This window comes from Homo sapiens, chromosome 12 (genome assembly GCF_000001405.40).
Source record: "Homo sapiens chromosome 12, GRCh38.p14 Primary Assembly".
In the NCBI taxonomy this organism is placed as follows: domain Eukaryota; kingdom Metazoa; phylum Chordata; class Mammalia; order Primates; family Hominidae; genus Homo; species Homo sapiens.
The window spans coordinates 117460129-117477417 of NC_000012.12; the positions used below are offsets into that span (position 1 = coordinate 117460129).

The 17289-nt window shown below is 47.2% G+C and overlaps 1 protein-coding gene across 5 annotated transcripts in view; it reads right to left on the minus strand.

Moving 5' to 3' along the window:
• Nucleotides 1–17289, minus strand: part of KSR2 (kinase suppressor of ras 2) — a 515979-nt gene that overhangs the window by 7117 nt on the left and 491573 nt on the right. For 4 of the 5 annotated variants that reach the window (XM_011538224.4, NM_173598.6, XM_011538225.4 and 1 more), the window contains 4 exons: nt 16336–16467; nt 11063–11192; nt 9534–9667; nt 1–7077 (listed from right to left, as the gene is read on the minus strand). The exon at nt 1–7077 is cut by the window's left edge and continues 7117 nt beyond it. In XM_011538224.4, coding sequence (XP_011536526.1) covers nt 7071–7077; nt 9534–9667; nt 11063–11192; nt 16336–16467 — 403 coding nt within the window. In that variant the 3' untranslated portion in view covers nt 1–7070. Of the gene's footprint in view, nt 7078–9533; nt 9668–10209; nt 10476–11062; nt 11193–16335; nt 16468–17289 lie in introns of those variants that run through there. The other variant, XM_017019208.3, reaches the window with a different exon arrangement.

Below are 17289 nucleotides of genomic sequence, written 5' to 3' on the forward strand. Positions count from 1 at the left end.
CATGGAATGAAAGGTCTATGGGACATGCTTGGGAAACAAGGTCTTATTTAGATCAGGCACATTCTAGACAGAGTCCATCTCCTCCAGCTCAGTCCTCAGTGGAAGGAGGACAGCCATTCTCAACCCCATGAGATGAATCCTTCATATTCTTGGTGTTAGGAAATGGGAGCTGCATGATCCCAATGAGTGGGAAGGAAGGGCCCTTTCCCACCCCTGAGAGGGAAGAGCACTCACTGATGTACGCCTCTCAGGAACACGGGACCACAGTGCAACATCCAGCAGGAGAGACGGAGGGGATAGGAAGCCTGGAGCAGGGATACTGGAGGGACCCAGGAGGGACTCTGCCAACCCAGATGTACATTTCCTGGAAATCCGGGCTGCTGCTGGCAGCCTGTCAGTTTGAGAACATAAGTTCAAGCTTCCGTGCAAACTCCCAGTATGGTCCCTGCCAGCCCCTGCACCCTCCCTTCCACAACTTCCTGCTTTTCCTCTCTCTCTTTCCTGGTTCCAAGTTGCCAATAAGTCTCAGAGGCTGGGATTGTAACATCCCCATGAGCAGCTGGACATGAACCCCTTGACCTGGAGGTGGGTTCCTGGGAATGGATGAGCCCAAAGACTCGTTTTTAAAATGCTGGGTCTGCAATTTGGAGGCTGGTTTCTGTCCCTGTACCACAGTTGCCCCATTGGAACGAGAATAAGACTACTGATCTCCCCAAACCATCATAGGAATTCCAGCCTGGCACGTAGTAAGTGCTCTGTGAATGAGGGCTGTTCAGGGTGGATTGTTACTCTGCCTCCTAGACATCCTGGGCCACCTGACTCAATGGGTCGCTTCATACGTCACAGATATTAAACCTGGCAAACTGGCTCAGCACAATGGCTTAGCCCTGTAATCCCAGTGCTTTGGGAGGCTGAAGCAGGGGGATTGCTTGAGACCAGGAGTTCAAGACCAGCGCGGGCAACATAGCAAGACCCTGTCTGTACAACAAATAAAAAATTAGCCAGGCATGATGGTGTGCACCTGTAGTACCAGCAACTTGAGAGGCTAAGGTGGGAGGATTGCTTGTGGCCAGGAGTTCGAGGCTGCAGTGAGCTATGATCACGCTGTACTCCAGCCTGGGTGACAGAGCAAGACTCTAACTCTAAACCACAACAACAAACCTAACAAACAAACTCATTGGGGTTGATATGGCACCCACAACATGGTCTGGCAAAGGGGAATCCCAATACCATCCAGCCCTGCCAATGGTGCCCTTCTAACTCCCTGTGCCAGGGTCTTACTCTTACCCAGCAAACCTCTCTGTCTGCATTCTGTAAACATTTCTTGAGCACTTACTATGTGCCAGGCACTACTAAGACAAGTCCAGGAGGTCACTGGGACCGCAGATTTTCCATCAACCTCCTGCCCCACTACTGGTTTCAAAACTAAACTGGTAACAGAATGGGTATGGATTGCAGGGCCTCGAGAAGGGAGTCTGGGATTTGGGTTAATATCATAGTCAGGCACTGACCAGAGAGGACAGAGGTTCACTGCGGCTCCACATTCCAGGACCCAGACTGACATTTGCTGCCTGTCACTCCCCTTGGAGTTCAAAGTGATTCCCTTGCAGGTGTGTGCAGGTGAGGGTGAGGTGGTACGGGAGGAGGTGAGGCTGGGAGCCAGGGAGAGTGGCCACATGAGTCTGCCTAGGAACTTCCCCACATCACAGGCAAAGCCAAAAAAGGAAACAGCAAAATGTAGCTCATCAAAATCCACTCCTTTGTCAATGAACAAGAGTATAGATAAAATCAGATGCTGTGTCACCAACTGCTTTGGATAGGGTCATGAGGCACATTCAGGGGTCAAGTGACAGTCCGCTACAGACAAGCCACTTACACACAGGCTGTTCCCATACAGCCACAGAACTGAGATCCAGAGCTGTTGGAATTCAGTGATGGGACGTGTTGATTGGGGCAAGCTTGGTAAGCATGACAGCAACAGCCTGACCTTGTAGACCAGGAATTCTGGGGAATCTATCTTCAAGGGCACCTGGGTTCTACAGTGGAGGACCAGTCAAGGCACAAGAGAAAATGTCTTAGAGGGTGTTATAAGTTGTGGTGTCCCCAACAAAAAAAAAAAAAAAAAAAAAAAGACATGTTGAAGTCCTCATTCCTAGTACCTCAGAATGAGACTTCATTTGGAGAGAGGGTCTTTGCAGATATAATTAGTTAAGATGAGGTCATACTGAAATAGGGTGGGCCCTTAATCCAATGTGACTCGTGTCCTTATAAGAAGATGGCCATATGAAGATAGGGACACACAGAGAGATGATGAGGGCAGGGATTGGACTGACACAGCTGCAAGCCAAGGAATGCCAATGATGACCAGGAAAGCACCAGGAATTCAGAAGCCGCCAGGAAGGATTCCCTTACAGATTTCAGGGGGAACATGGCCCTGCTAACACTTTGATTTTGGACTTCTGGCATCCAGATGGGTGAGAGATGATACATCTGTTGTTGTAGGCCCCAGTGGGTGGTGGTTTGCTGCAGCAGTCCTAGGAGCCTCACGGAGGTGAGGGGGGCTTGGGGATATGGTGGCACAGTGGAACAAGACCAGCCTGCAGGGGATGGATGGGTGAAGTGAAGGTAGGCACAGGATGAGGATAGGGAGGGCATATTTCGGGACTCAAGATTGAGAACCAGTGTGGGGAAAGAAAGCCGGGGATGGGAATAAAATCACAGAGCGTTGGAACCCTAATCTAATAAGATTGTTGTCTTTATCAGAAGAGGAGGAGATACTGGGGATGTGCAGTCACAGAGGAAAGGCCACGTGAGGTCACGATCAGAGGGCAGCTGTCTGCAAGCCAAAGAAAGAGGCCTCACCAGAAACCAACCCTGCTGACACCTTGATCTTGGGACTTCCAGCCTCAAGAATTGTGAGGAATAAATTCGTGTTGTTTAAGCCACTCAGTGTGTGACATTTTGTTATTATGGCCCCCCTTAGCAAACGAAGAGTTTTAAAGTCCAGGGAGTTGGTCCAGCCTTCAGGGCCTGAATTGCCTCCATATCACACAGGCCAAGCAGTCAACATCTGCTCCACCCTATCCAAGGACAGGGAGTTCTCTACTTCCGGAGGCAGCCCGCTGCATCTTGGGGCAAGCTGGCCTTCTTCCGCTGAAACAAGTTCTCTCCCCCTCCAACTTCCTGTTCCTCCCCTGAGAGCCATATCCAACCCTCTCTATCAAAGGCTCCTGTTCCTCCCCTGACAGCCATATCCAATCCTCTCTATCAAAGGCTAGCAAAGTTAGGAAAGGGCCAGATTGTAAAAGTTTTTGACTGTGTGGGCCACATCGTCTCTGTTGCAAATAGCTGGCTCTGTCACAGTTGCATAGGAGCAGCCGTGGTTGTGTAAATGGAGAGGTGACTGTGCTCCAATAACATTTTGTTTATTGACATGAAATTTGAATGTTATAGAATTTTCATGTCATGAAATATTATTCTTTTGATTTTTCCTCAATTAAAACATGTAAAAACCATTTGGCAGGCTGGGTATGGCCTATGGGGCATAGCCTGACAGCCCTGGGTTTAGATTTCTCAAGATAATGATTGGCCTGAGCTCCGTGTCTACTACTTCCTCCGTGTACCTTTGATGATCAGCTGTAGGTGGGGATGGGAATGGTGGAAGGTGAGATAAGGCTGGTTTCGTGTGTTTGTGGGGAGGGGCATGATGTGTGTATATGGCATGGGAGGTGAGAAAAAGGGAAGAACTAGGTTCCCTGGATACAAAAGTCTAGTGGTCAATATCAGTCAAGGGCTTCTATTGACTGACAATCCAAGGTAGCTGTGGAGACAAGTGGATGGGGTGAGGATGGGGGGGTCCATGGCAAGATGAAAATTTTCTCTTTGATCAGTAAAAGGAATACCAGGACAAAATGGATCTAAGCAATGACTTTGGGTTTCCAGCTTGGCTCTGGGGATGGGGACACAAGGGGCACGTCCTCCCACAGGGGGCCAAGAAGGAAGCTCCTTGGTTTTATGAATAATCTGTATCCTGGAAGAGTTGGGTGAAATTTATGTGCAAATCCACATGCCCTTTAAAGAAAGCTGAGATGTTTCTCTCTGCAAAGCCAAGGCTTCCTGGTGAATCTTCACCCTGTGGACTGGTCCCCTCGGGAAGCCCATGTATATGACGGTTTGCTAAAAGCAAGACTGACTGGAACAACTCGCTGCTGAGTCAGTGACTTATGTGTACAGGGCACCTGTGTGCAGCTGTGATGGGACAAGGGCAAACACACAAATCTTGGTCGTGTCATTGTATAGAATGAGTTGCAGGTGAGGCTGGTAATTATGATGTAAAAATATACAGCCTCTTTCCTCTTTTTTTTTCCTCCCTGCGTAAGATGAATATAACCTCCTCCCAAAACCTCATCAGCGAATAAAGATGGAAGCCAGCAGGGAAAGCAGCGGTTTGGTTCTTCCTGGATTTAAATGTGTGCAAATTAAAGCTGGTTTCTCAACAAGTCAGGGCGGTGTAGAGGGGACAGGGTAGGGGCGTCAGGAAGGCACTGAAGGCCAGGATCCTGGCCTGGCTGCAGCAGAGACCAATGCAGGTGGGGACAGAGTAGTGAAGTGGGGAAAGATCGAGAAGTCAAGAGCAAGTGACTCAGATTCAGGGATGGACCCAAGGCACCCTGTTCCACAAAGGGCTGGGTTTTCCCCTGGATCACTCAGGCCCTGTCCTTAATCCCAAACTGGTGCTCATGAATGAATGGAAAAATCAGCTGTTGGAGATCATGCTAGGCCTTGCCAAAGGCTGTGGTTGGACATTTTAGTTAATTCTGGAAACAAGAGAGGCAAGAGTGAGAAGGTGCCAGTTCTTGTGGACATTTCAGCTGCAGGGTAGTAGACCCTGGCTGCCTCTTCCCTTCCTCATATCCTGTCTCTTGGCACAAGGGAACATGACAAGGACTGGAGCCTGTGGACCCAAGAAGTCCTGGTGTGATGGAAGAGAAGTGAGTGGTTGGGTTTCAGGCACTCAGTAGGCTGCTGGGCAGAGCCAAGACAGGTGCAAGTCCAGGCCCAGGGCTGGGACACAGAGTGTTGTGTTGGGATGGGGAGGTGTCCATTGACAAGAGCCATCCCCAGCAACCCCAGAGTGGCTGGGGCTCAGGCAAACATATATAAAATGCCTCCAAGACACACACACGTCGTCAAGCCAAGAGCCATAGATGTCCCCAGAAGAGCAGTGTCTGCTTAGGAGCAGCCCAAGCCGGGGTCTTTAGTCCTCTAGTCCCAGTAAGCTGGGAGTGTTGGAAAGGCAATTCAGGAGGGCCCTTTGGGAAACACAGGGGTTTCCTGTAGCCAGGCTCCTGGGAAGCATGACTGATCTCACCATTCTTCCCGGTTTGGAAGCAGGTTTGGCCCCCAGAGCATGAACCAGTCTGGGAGTCACCCAAGGTGGGGAAGAGATCCTCATAGGTCTATTTGGATTTTGAAAGTAAGATCAGGTAGGGTTTTTGAAGTTCCAGTTCCTCTCTCTGGCCCTCTAGGAGGGAGATGCCTGGATAGATAGTAGCTACAAGAAAACTAAGGCCCAGGTAGTACCCAGGAAACACAGAGGGGCTGTGGCCGCCCTGGGCTTCCTGTTCACTGCCCAGATAATCCTGCTATTGCTCTGCTTGGGGACAGATTTCCCTTTTGTATCAGGTCACATGCAGGGGGTCAGGGCTTTGAAAACATGGGCAAATGACCCAGAGGTTCTCCTCTCCCATCTGCATGCCCAGCCTGCTCTCGGCATCCTTCCTACAGATACAGAACACCAGGGGCTTCCCCAACATGGTCAGGAAGAGTCGCCGGCCCAGGTTGGGATCAAGAGGAGGGAGGGAAGGTGGGGCACTGAGGGAACACACACAGGTGAGGGACACAGGCTTCCGATGGGGAAGCTACTTGAGGACCCCGCACCAGGCTAGAGCAAAGAACGCAGAAGTGTAACAAACATCCTCCCTTTGTGCTCCCCCAACAGGACTCCTCAAGGGTGACAGGCAGGGAAATCTTTTGCAAACGTGTTATCATAGGTACAGCCACATAACCCAACATGGACGTACCCCAAGAACCCGCATCCACCTTGGTGGGGGAATAAGCTTCACTGGTGTGAGTAGCAGAGAAGAGGGAAGAAAAGGAATGTCCTAGAACTCCCTGCCCAGAGCCCTGATTCTCAGGGACCAGACTTCAGGGGGTGCCCTGAATGACGGTGAGCTCTAAGGAGCCCCTCAGAAGTCATCTTGGCTTTCCAAATGGCAAGGAGGTGCGGGCAGTGAGGTGAAAAGGGATGCTACTCTCAGAGAACAGGAGAAAACAGCAGAAATGGGGGAATAGGTCCCCCAGAGAGACCCAGAACTCAAAAGACGTTCTAACTTTCCTACTGTACTTCAGAGCTCTATGCAAAGGTGCCACACGCCATGACAGGCTCGGGTTGGGGTGTCTGAAAACAGATATTTCCAAAGGAACGAGCTTAGCCACTCCCGACCTTCCCTGCTCGATCTTGGCTCAGTAGCCTTGACTAAGCTGCCACTCGGCTCTGTACCCTCCTCTTAGCTTCCCAGATGGTACAGCTGGAACCTACCACATACAGACAGAACTGAGGAGTGCCCCGTCATTGGGACAGTCTGGCTCTTGCTTGTCAAGGGGAAACAAGAGTGAACAACGTCAAACACACAGACACACACACACATAGCCCCGTCTGTGAGCCCCCCCACGTGGGGTCTCCTGTCCTAGTCCCATAGCCCAAAGGCACCACGTGCAGCCTGCAGTGCTCTCATTAGTGCTGTCCCCTGGGCCGCACTGATCAATAACGCATCACCCTGGCTGGTCCGGTTCAGTCCTAGCTCGGGGGTCCCCAACCCTGCCCGAGGAAAAGGGCTCAAGTCTGAGGTGCAGGGAGGCCGCCGAGCAGTTGTCCAGTGCTCCCAGGTCGGTCGGGGTTGGTACCCTCTGATGCTGAGTCTCTGGCCTCCTGAGCTGGCAGAGGACAGAGTAGGGAGGGAGAGGTGACGGGAGCCCAGGCAGCTGGGCGCCGTCCCGATGTCCAAAGGTCACAGCCTGGAGTGGGGAGAGAAGGGAGAGAGTGGTGAGAGGTCACAAGGACATGATGATGTCATCCGTTGTGAATGACACCCTCTCAGTGGGCCAGGTGGCTTGAGATGAACTGTTCCTGTCTTCTGCAAGAAGACATGGAAGAGATTTCTGTTAACTGAGTTCTTACTATATGCTGGGCTCTGCCACACACCTGATCCCATTTAAGCCTGAGATGAGCCTGCAATATAGGCTACTAATATTTTCAAAGATGAAAATAATCAGAGACGAACTTCTACGACAGAATCATACAATTTCACAGATGAAAACACTGAGGCTTCGGGAGGTTAAGTGTTTTGCCAAAGGGCACACTGCCAGGAAGCAGCAGGGTCAGGATTTGAACCCAGAACTTTTCCCACTTGGGCATGGACTAGGAATGGTCATCTAGTGTATGGGGCTGGGATAAAGCTCTGTAACAGCTAGAGAGGCAGGAAGAGGGGGTGGGACTGGGATCCACACTGCAGCCTCCTGCTATGAGCAGACTTTGATGTCCACTGCAGCAAAAGGAACTCATTTATTTTGTTGACTGCTGTATTCTCACTCTTAGAACAGTGTCTAGCACATAAAAGATGTTCAGTACACATAGGCTGAATAAAAAAAAAAAATGAATGAATGGAAGAGGGAATGAATGGAAAATTCCACTGAACCCAGCATCCTATTCTGCTAGACCACAGTCCTGTGTTTTTTTTTTTTTTTTCCAGCCCAACTCCACAATAAAATATAGAAAGAGAAGCCTCCTGCCTTTCCCTCCAACCAGTAAGCTTTAAGTCCCTCTCTTCAGTTGAACTGCTAGGTCCTGCCTGGAGCTCCAACACTAATTCTCTAACTTGCCAGCACTCCTTTAGCTGGGCAGAGTTTTTGCTTGTTAAAGCTTCCTTCTGTCTGTTTTCATATCCAATCCATTGTAAATCCTGCCAGGCTGCCACAATAGGGCTCGGTCTCCCTCTTGGCAGATGACAGCAGCTGAGCTACAGTGAGTACCTGCTATGTTGAGAGGCACCTGCTAACCAGGTGCTCTACACGTGGCCACATGGGACTTGCACAGCATTTCTGCTAGAGCAGTTTCACTGCCCTCACCTTTCAGAGCATGAAACTGTAGCTCAGAGAGGCCAAGTGATGTGCCCCAGGCCACACAGCTATTACGTAGTGGAGTGGCAATTTCAATCTATGTCTGTCTGTAAAGTTTATGCTCCTTCCAATGGTCTGGGGAAGGATAAGCCCCTGGGGAAAGAAGAGATTCCATCCTTCAGGTTCAGCAAGCTCAAATGGCAGGGGAAGGGAGTAAAAAAAGAGCCTCCTAATGTCCACAGCCCCCGGGGACATCTGCTCTTCAGGACGCCGCCTTGGGGAACTTCATGGGAAGACTGACAATGGCTATGGTACACCACGCACACAGGTGGGAGTATCTGTATCTGTGGGTACTGCTTGTCTTTAGAGGGTAAGCCATGGCAGTGCAAGTGTGTATATACACATGTCTTCATGTACCATGTAATGTGATTGTGTACCTGTGTGTGTATGTGTCTGAGTCTGGCTATGTATGCAGGCTTCTGTGTAGGGATGTGCGTTCATGGAATGTTTTTGTATATGGATGTGTGTGAGTATAGATCTGAGTGCAGCTGTGTGTGAATGAATTTGTATAGAGGTATGTTTTTAAGTACTGCTCCTGTGTCTGCATGAGTGTGAGTACCTGAGAGTGTCTGTGTGAGTGTGCCAACCATGAATACCTGGGAGCAACTGGCAGAGCCATGGGGAGCCCTCAGCAGCCTCATCTGGGCCTGTCTCCCTTTTACCTTCTAGAGAGCTCAGTCATGGAAGCTGGGGCTGTCGAGAGAGGTCCCAGAAAGAGATGCCACACTCATTATCTCAGATAGAGCTACTGATCTCCAGCCAGAAACAAGGGGGAGGAGCATGGTCTGGAGCCTCTTATGAGGAAATCAGCAGAGATACTTCTGGTGAGCTCAGAGCCTTTCCTGCTCTGGCATTCATGCAATAGAGAATGCTGGAAGCTGAGATCTGCCATGACAGGGGCAGGCTGCTGGCTCAGAAGGAAGAGTTCCAGAAAGCTGGGCCTCGTGGAGGGGTACTCTGAATACCTGACATATGGGGGGCTTGGCAGGTTCAGACATCACCTCACTGCATGATGCTCAGACTCATCGGGGCATCAATCTTCATCAGGAAGAGATAAGCAATGAGAAACCCAGGGTAGCTGCAGGACCCAAGACCCACAGGACAGACTCCAGCACCCAAACCCCAAAACAGACTCCATTGAACAGAAACCTAGTAGGGAAGAGTGGTTGCCGAAGGGTGGGCACATGGATAGGAGCTTGTTGGGGGAGGAGTAAAAAAGATGCAGAGGGGATCAAAAAGGTGACAAAGGGCAGAGGACAAGGCAGTGGGGAGAGACATTAAGGGAGAAAACCTACTCTGCAGACTTCCAGAAATGTCCAGGGTGAGACAGGCGACGGTTTCGCTTTGGCAGTTTCTCCAGCATGTCCATGAGCTTGGTGAAGGTAGGTCTCTCTTCTTGTTCAAAGGCCCAGCAGAAGAGAAGAATGTCCTAAATGAAACCAATGTGTGGTGATTACACATAAATGGTGATTTCTTGATTACTCTTTGGCATCACATTTGGTCTGCCAATTTGTCCACTCATCTGCCCCATTTCCATATTCCTCCATCATCCATTCATCCATCCATCCATCCATCCACCCATCCGGTACGTGTCTACACATCTACCCATCCAATCAATTCACTCTTCCATCCTTCATCCATCCATCCATCCATCCAGTATGTATCTACACATCTACCCATCCAGTCAATTCACTCTTCCATCCTTCATCCATCCATCCACCCATATATGATCCATCCATCCATTCATCCACTCATCCACCCATCATGCATGCATCTATATATCCACCCATCTATGTCAATTCACTCATTCATTCTTCATCTTTCATTATCCATCCATCCATCCATCCATCCATCCATCCATCCGGCATGTATCTACACATCTACCCATCCATATCAATTCACTCTTCCATCCTTCATCCATCCATCCACCCATATATCATCCACTCATCCACCCATCATGCATGCATCTATACATCCACCCATCTATGTCAATTATCTCATTAATTCTTCATCCTTCATTATCCATCCATCCATCCATCCATCCGTTTACCATCCATCCATCCTTCTTCCCATGTACTTTCTGAGCCCAAATAACAACCAGGTAAGCTCTATTCTAGAAGGTCTAGAATACACTGAGGTCAACAATACTTCCCAAACAGTTTCTTGACATTTCTCTCAAGAGAAGGGATAAAAGGGAATCCTGGGGTCTCCATCCATATCTCAATACTATAAGAGCCCTTCAAAGTCAGAGGAGAAAAGTTACTTTTAGTAATCTCTTCATCACCTAGGTGCAGGTAATCTTTAGAAACATACCACATCATTACTCCTTCTCTGACTTATGTGTCTTCTGATCAAAAGAGAGGATTCTTCCTGCTGTGTTTCAGAGGAAGATTGTTAATATTAATGTATACCCAGGCTTCTCTGTTTCTGTATGTCTTGTTCTGAGTTAGATAATGCCTTAAAATTATTATGTAGATGCAAATAAAATTGGAACCATTAATATTTGTGATGTTTTAATTCATATCTTTTAAAAATACCAGAAAAAGAGAGATATATTGGTTCTACCTAACTCAGCAACCCACAGTTAGGAAAAACCTGACCACGTGTTACTGTGCCCCTGGTGGCAGGTACCTGAAATTGCAGGCACAGTGCAGCAGCCTTGCCTTTTAAGCTTCAAACTGCCATCTGACAAGGTTGGAATGCATATTTTTTTGGTCACCCTATGGGAAAGCATTTGTAACCTTAACACATAGTAAAAAGAAGGCCCATGACTGTGTCTGTGTCTCCCCTCATCCCCCAAGTCTGGACCTATCTTGGGACTTACCGAGATTTCTTTTCCCATGCCAATCTGGCTGAGGTTGGGTTTCATGCCTGTGCCCATTTGCCAGATTATTGCCTCTGCTGGTTGGGTCTTGAAAGGCCATTCCCTGGCGTGGAGTTCATACCAGATTGTGCTGTTGGCAGACGTTGTTAAAGGGGTGTTGGTGTGGTGTGTCACTTGCAACCTTGTACCTCCATTATTAGCACACACCCACCCAGCCAGTCTCCTGGCACCCATTCTTCTCCCCACTTTCTTCCTCATGGGGTTGGTATTTTGCCATGTGCGACATACCTAAAGCTTTCTTAATGTCTTAGAAGTCATGTTTATCCCAGGATATCTTCTAATGAATAGTTAAATATAATGTGGTTAGGATCTCTGTCCCTGATTCTACTTGCAATGATTCTAGGAAATCATTGCAAATAAATGAGGGATACAAAAATTTATTTATAAGGATATTCTCTAAAGCACTATATATAATATTGAAAAAAAGTAAAAATAACACAATTGTCCAATAAGAGGAATTGGTTATATGCATTATGGTAAATCCATAAAATAAAATGAAATGCTGTATTATTATTAAAACATTTCAAATAAATTTTGCTGACATAAAAAATGCTCAATATATAACCTTAGGTAAAAAAAAGCAGGATATGAGACTGTATGTAGGATTTGATATTGCTTTTTAAAAAACCATTATATATGTATGAACAAGAGAATAAAGTAAAGCATAGCAAAATGTTAACAATAACTAACTCTGGGTGACAGGTTAGGATTTTTTTTCTTTTATACTTGTCCTTTTTTTTTTCTAAGTATAAACCACCCTGCGGAACGGTGGAAAGAAAAAAAGAGGTTTGACAGCGACTTGGGTTCAAGTCCTGATTCTATTTATACTAGTAGTATAATAGGGTAGGTTTCCTGGGTACGTCACTTCACTTCTCCAAATGCAGGTTTTCTTACCTGATAAATGAGAATAATGACAACATTGCAGTGGAAGGATGTTTATCTGGGACTCCGAATGCCAAAACAACTCCATGCTAGGATTATTCTAGAGGGATTTACCACATTATTTTCTGTTTCATAAGTCATGACATTGTAATTAATGGAGAGAGGATTGCTCTAGTGAGTAGCATGTGCCATGAAGGGGGTGATGGGCCAGGTGGTGCATAAATGATGCTGTGAAGTGTGAATAGCAGTGAGGACCACAGTGGATGAAACAGGATGCTAGGGTGTCACTGAGCTGTATCATGGGGACAGATCTCAGCGCTTTGAGCACAAGATTCCCCAACTTAGGAAATATCTGAAACAATCCTAGAAAGTGATCTTTCCTCCACTCTAAGATTTCATGTAAGTTTGCTTTAAAGAACACAAAGCACTCTGCTATCCTTTTTACTAATCAGAGCACTGTGTCAAATCAACTATTGCTAGGGTTTCACTTCGTAGTTACATCTTCCTTCTACCTGACAACCTTATACCTCTGGGCTGGGGAAGGGGTGGTGATGCTCAGGTGTTCGGATGTCAAGTTAGATGATCAGAAAGCTCTCAAGAGAAGGTGCTAAAAGATTATAGTTATCATAAGAAATAATAATGCTTATTGAGGTTTTACTCTGCACTAGGCACTATTCTAAGTTTTTTTGTGGAGGGAGGTCTATTCATCATGTCTTTTTATTCTGATGCTTTGACTACTTGGGGCTCTGCTGACCCTGGAGGGTCTGCCCCTTCCAGGAACAGCCAATTCCTGGAAATAGTAAAGCACTCACCTGTGAGCACAGCTTTCACAGGCTAATCAGATAATCCAGAACTCACACTCATACTGCCAACTACCTCCTTAATTGGGCTTTCAAGTTCCAGGCCAATATTCCCCAGCCCCTATACACCAGAGCCTGCTGAAATCATTCAAACAAGCCAATCCTAAGTCTTCTTACCCTGCCTCCCCTGCTCCTTCCCAAGAGCCACAATAAAGGCTCTTCCCAACGTTTTCCTCACATTTCCTCTGCCTCCAGACCGACCCTGGTGCTGCCCCCTGTGGACACTGCATGGTGTGGCACGCCCCCTCTGGGAACTGTGAGTAACCATCTTTTCAAAGGCGACTGTTGGCCTCATGCTGCCTGAATAATAACAAAACCTACATTTTAAAACAGGAGGCATTATTATTAATATTATCCGCCTTTCATAGATGAGGAAACTGATGCCCAGAAAGGTTGTGTGTCTTTCCCAAGATAACACAGCAAACAAGAAGGGCAGCCAGAAGCTGAACTTAGTCCATCTAACTCCAAGATGGTGCCACTGGCCAACGTGCTATCCTAGGAAGCTTAGACTCCATCCTATTTAAGAGTCCTTTGTAATCAAGAAAGTGCACAATTTGGGAGGTGCGAGCTTGTGGCTGGCGATTGGAGTCTGGTGAAGGAGGCATAAACAGACTCATCCACCACTCATGTGAAACGGGGAAGGGTGTTTTGAGTTATTCCCTGTGCTGGGTACCTTACAAATGTTTTCTCACTCAATTCTTAGAACACCTCAATGGATTTATTATCCTTGATTTACAGTTGAGAGAAATAGGGCTTTGAGTGGCAAAATAAATCCCAAACCCACTGGGACTCTATGGTTAAAAGCTCCAACTCTAGAGTACAGGATATTCCAGGTGAATCTCAGCACCATCATTCATCACTGTAAGGCATGTCACTGAGCCATCTGAAGCCTCAGTATTCTCACCTGTCAATTGGGAGCAACATGGTATCTGCTTCCAAGGGTGCTTGTAAAAATTGTGAGACAATGCACATAAAAGGCTTAACACAGTGCTCAATCCTCTTTAAAAAGTTCATTTTTGTTCTAAGTCATTTCTGAGCACGAGATTCCCAAGCAACAGGATGCACCTAATTGGCAGGAAACCAGAGAGCCGGGTCCTTCGGAATTCAGCAGTGTCAGAAATAAAAGCCTCATTAAAACTTCCTTTTAAACCCAACTTTCAAGAGAAACTCACTTTAAGGAAAAAAGATTTGCTGAAGATGAAAACTCCAGCAGAAAACCAATTATTCTGGTACATTTTGTTAATCACATTTTTTTTTCTTTTGCTAAATTTACACTAAACTATACCAACTTAATTATTGCAATTTGGTTTCAGATAACAATATCTAACTAGATAAAGATTTGGGCATAAAATAATCAGGCCAACTGACATCCTCTAAAGGGGCCCAAGCAACAGATGTTGAGAATTCTGATCTTCCAGAAATATCTCCTCAGGGTTTTTCAGTGAGGATGCGGTGGGGGCCCTTTTCCAAGGAAGACTGTCTCTGTAACATCTCTCGGTGGTGCTAAGTCTAATTGCACTCATCTGCAGGCCTGCAACTTTCCCAAACCGCTTCCCCAGTGTTATCTCCCCCAGCCCTTGCAACCACATGTGGACAAGGTTAGGCAAGGATTTGCATGGCCATGGGAGCCTAGAAGCCTTTCTGGCTATATTTTCTCAGGGCACTCTTCCCTGCATCCTGGCGCTGTGTCCTAGGCCCTTCTTCTCCTTCTGTACTTCCAAAGACATCTCATTCTGTCTGTGGCTGCAGTTACCTATTTTCTGACAAGTCCTAAACTGCTCTTTTCTATACTAGTCGTGTAGAGGCAGCTGTGTTTTGGTGGTTTCATTTGTCATCTCCACGATAGCTCAAACTCACTGTGTCTAAACCTGACCTCTTTTCCTCCCTGGCATGCCCCAACCCTGCTGCACCGCCATGGTCTCCACCTTAGTGAATGATGCCACTCTCCACCTGCTTGCTTAAGGCAGCTATCTAGGCACCACCCAAATTCAATCCATCATCAAGCTCTATTGCTTCCACCTCCTCTGGGTGCTGCTGATGTCCATTCTCAGCTTTCATACCCACAGGCTCTGATTCAGTGAAGGCTGCCAGCATTTCCCTGTGTATTGGACACCCGGCCCCCATCCTCTCCTTCTTCATTCCATTCTCTACTCAGCAGCCAGAGTGATCTGATTGATCTAAAACTCAAATTAGGATTATGTCACTCCCCCTTCCCCCAGAGTTTAATAACCATCAATGGCTCCTTAGTGCACTGAAGATGAAATGAAAACTCCTTAACTCAACCTTTAAGTCCTTGCAGGATTGACCGTGCTTCCCTCTCTAGTCTCTTATCTCACCACCCCCAGCCTAATTTTTTTCCTGACTCTTCATCCATCAGCTCCCTTTCCTCCCCCAACCCTTCTATATATTATTCCATGTGGGCAATGTGTTCTCTTTTCTTTTTGAAACTTTTTGCACAGTCTTTTGATCTGGAACACCTCACCCTGCCCTTGTACTCAATCTTTAACTTAGGCTCAGGATTATCATCTCCTGGAAGCCCTCCCTGATCTCCCAGATTGGATTTGGTTCCTCTTTTATTCCCACAGTCCTGTGTTTATTCTCAGAATAGCATTTATCATACTTTGCTAAAGTTGGATGTTTCCTTATCTGCCTTCCACTAGAAAGAGAGAGTAGGGGCCTCTGGTGGTTTTAAATATGTCCAGTATATTCTTTGATATTCCATTATGTATAAGATAGAGCTTAATTCTCCTCCCCTTAGGTGTGGACTGGATTTAGCAACTTGCTTTTAACAAACAGCATATGGTAGGAGCAATGATATGTAAATTTCTGAGACTAGATCATAAATGACAATGAGGCTTGTAGCCACCATGTTGTGAAGTCATTCAAGTAACCTATACTCAGGCCCAAGGGTTGAGGAACTGAGGCCTCCTTCCAACAGCTGTGTGAGTGGGCCACCAGGGAAGTGGATCCCCAGCCTGCTGAGCCTTCAGATGAGACCGCAGCCCTAGCCAATATCTTGACTGCAACCTCATAAAAGCCCACTCAGAACCACTCAGCTAAGCCACTCTCAAATTCCTGACCACAGAAACTTGAGATAAGAAATGTTTTCAGTGGCTAAGTTTTGGGGTAATTTGTTATGTAGTAATAATGAAGACAACACTGAATCTTGTATCCCCTGCATCTGCTACAATCCTAGCACATAGTAGGCAGCCAACAAATAGCTATTGAATAAGTAAATGAGTTGGGTAACTTGTTAAGGCCACATAATCCATTAGAAACCAGACACACACGTTTGTTAGGGTCATTCTTTCTAGTATACCCTACTCAGGTTCCTCCATTCTCACCCAAAAATCCAGCCACTTTGGCCCTGTAGACAGGTACACCCTGGCCCTTCCAAAAGCACTGAAAGACTTGAGAAGTGCCCCTCTGCCCAGGCTGTGGCTCTCAATGGCCAGGGCAGGGCCCACTTACCCAAGGGCAAAGACGTCAGAGTGCTTGGAGAAGGGGAGCTTATCCTCCTCTGTGTCGGGGGACAGCTGGCGGATGATCTCTGGTGCCAGGTGGCATAGCCAGCCATTCTGGATGCGCAGTTTGTCCTCCCGCCTGGAGAAGCAAAGCACAGGATGAGCTCTGTTTCATAGCCCAGGGTGGACCAGTCCCCCTGGCACTGACCCTACGTCCCTGGAGCCATCTCTGCTGCCCTTCTCGCTTCCCACATTGAGCACTGCCTGACCACCTACTGGAGGCCGAGACCCAGTAGTAGGTGCAGGGAAGGCTGCTCTAGAGAAACACTCAGGATCCAAACCATCATCAAATTCCATTGCCTCTGAGGCACCCACCTTCTTGCCCATCTTCATTCAATGACAGTGTGGATTCTTGTTATTCACGGCAGTTACGTTCTATAAAGTCACTGGAACACGGAATTAGCAGAATACTGAATCATTGCTCCTGGGGAAATATGTACACATGCACACACCCCCTCACATAGTTTATAATTTTAACCCTAAAAACAACTTATCTAACAGATTCTGTTTTATTTTACATAATAGACTATGGGGCTCAGAAGTGTTAAGTGACTTGTCTGAGGCAGCCCTACGAACAGGTGCCAGAGTTGGGATTCAAATCTCATCCAACTGGCCCCAGAGCTAGAGCTTCTTATGCTACTCTGCACTGCCCACTCTGTCTCAACCTCCATCCTCAAGGCTTCTCTGCATGAGGCTGAAACAATGAGGCAGAACATCCTCCTGTTTGACCTAAGCTGGAAACATGTGCATTGGGTAACTCAAACTTTTCCCCACTCTGCATGTCCCTGAATAACTGTGAAAGTGCTGTGAGTGTTGATTTGGGGGATTACAAATACATTTCAGTGAATCCACAAATAATGATAATCTACTGTGTTTTTCCATCACCTATGATGCCTAGGTT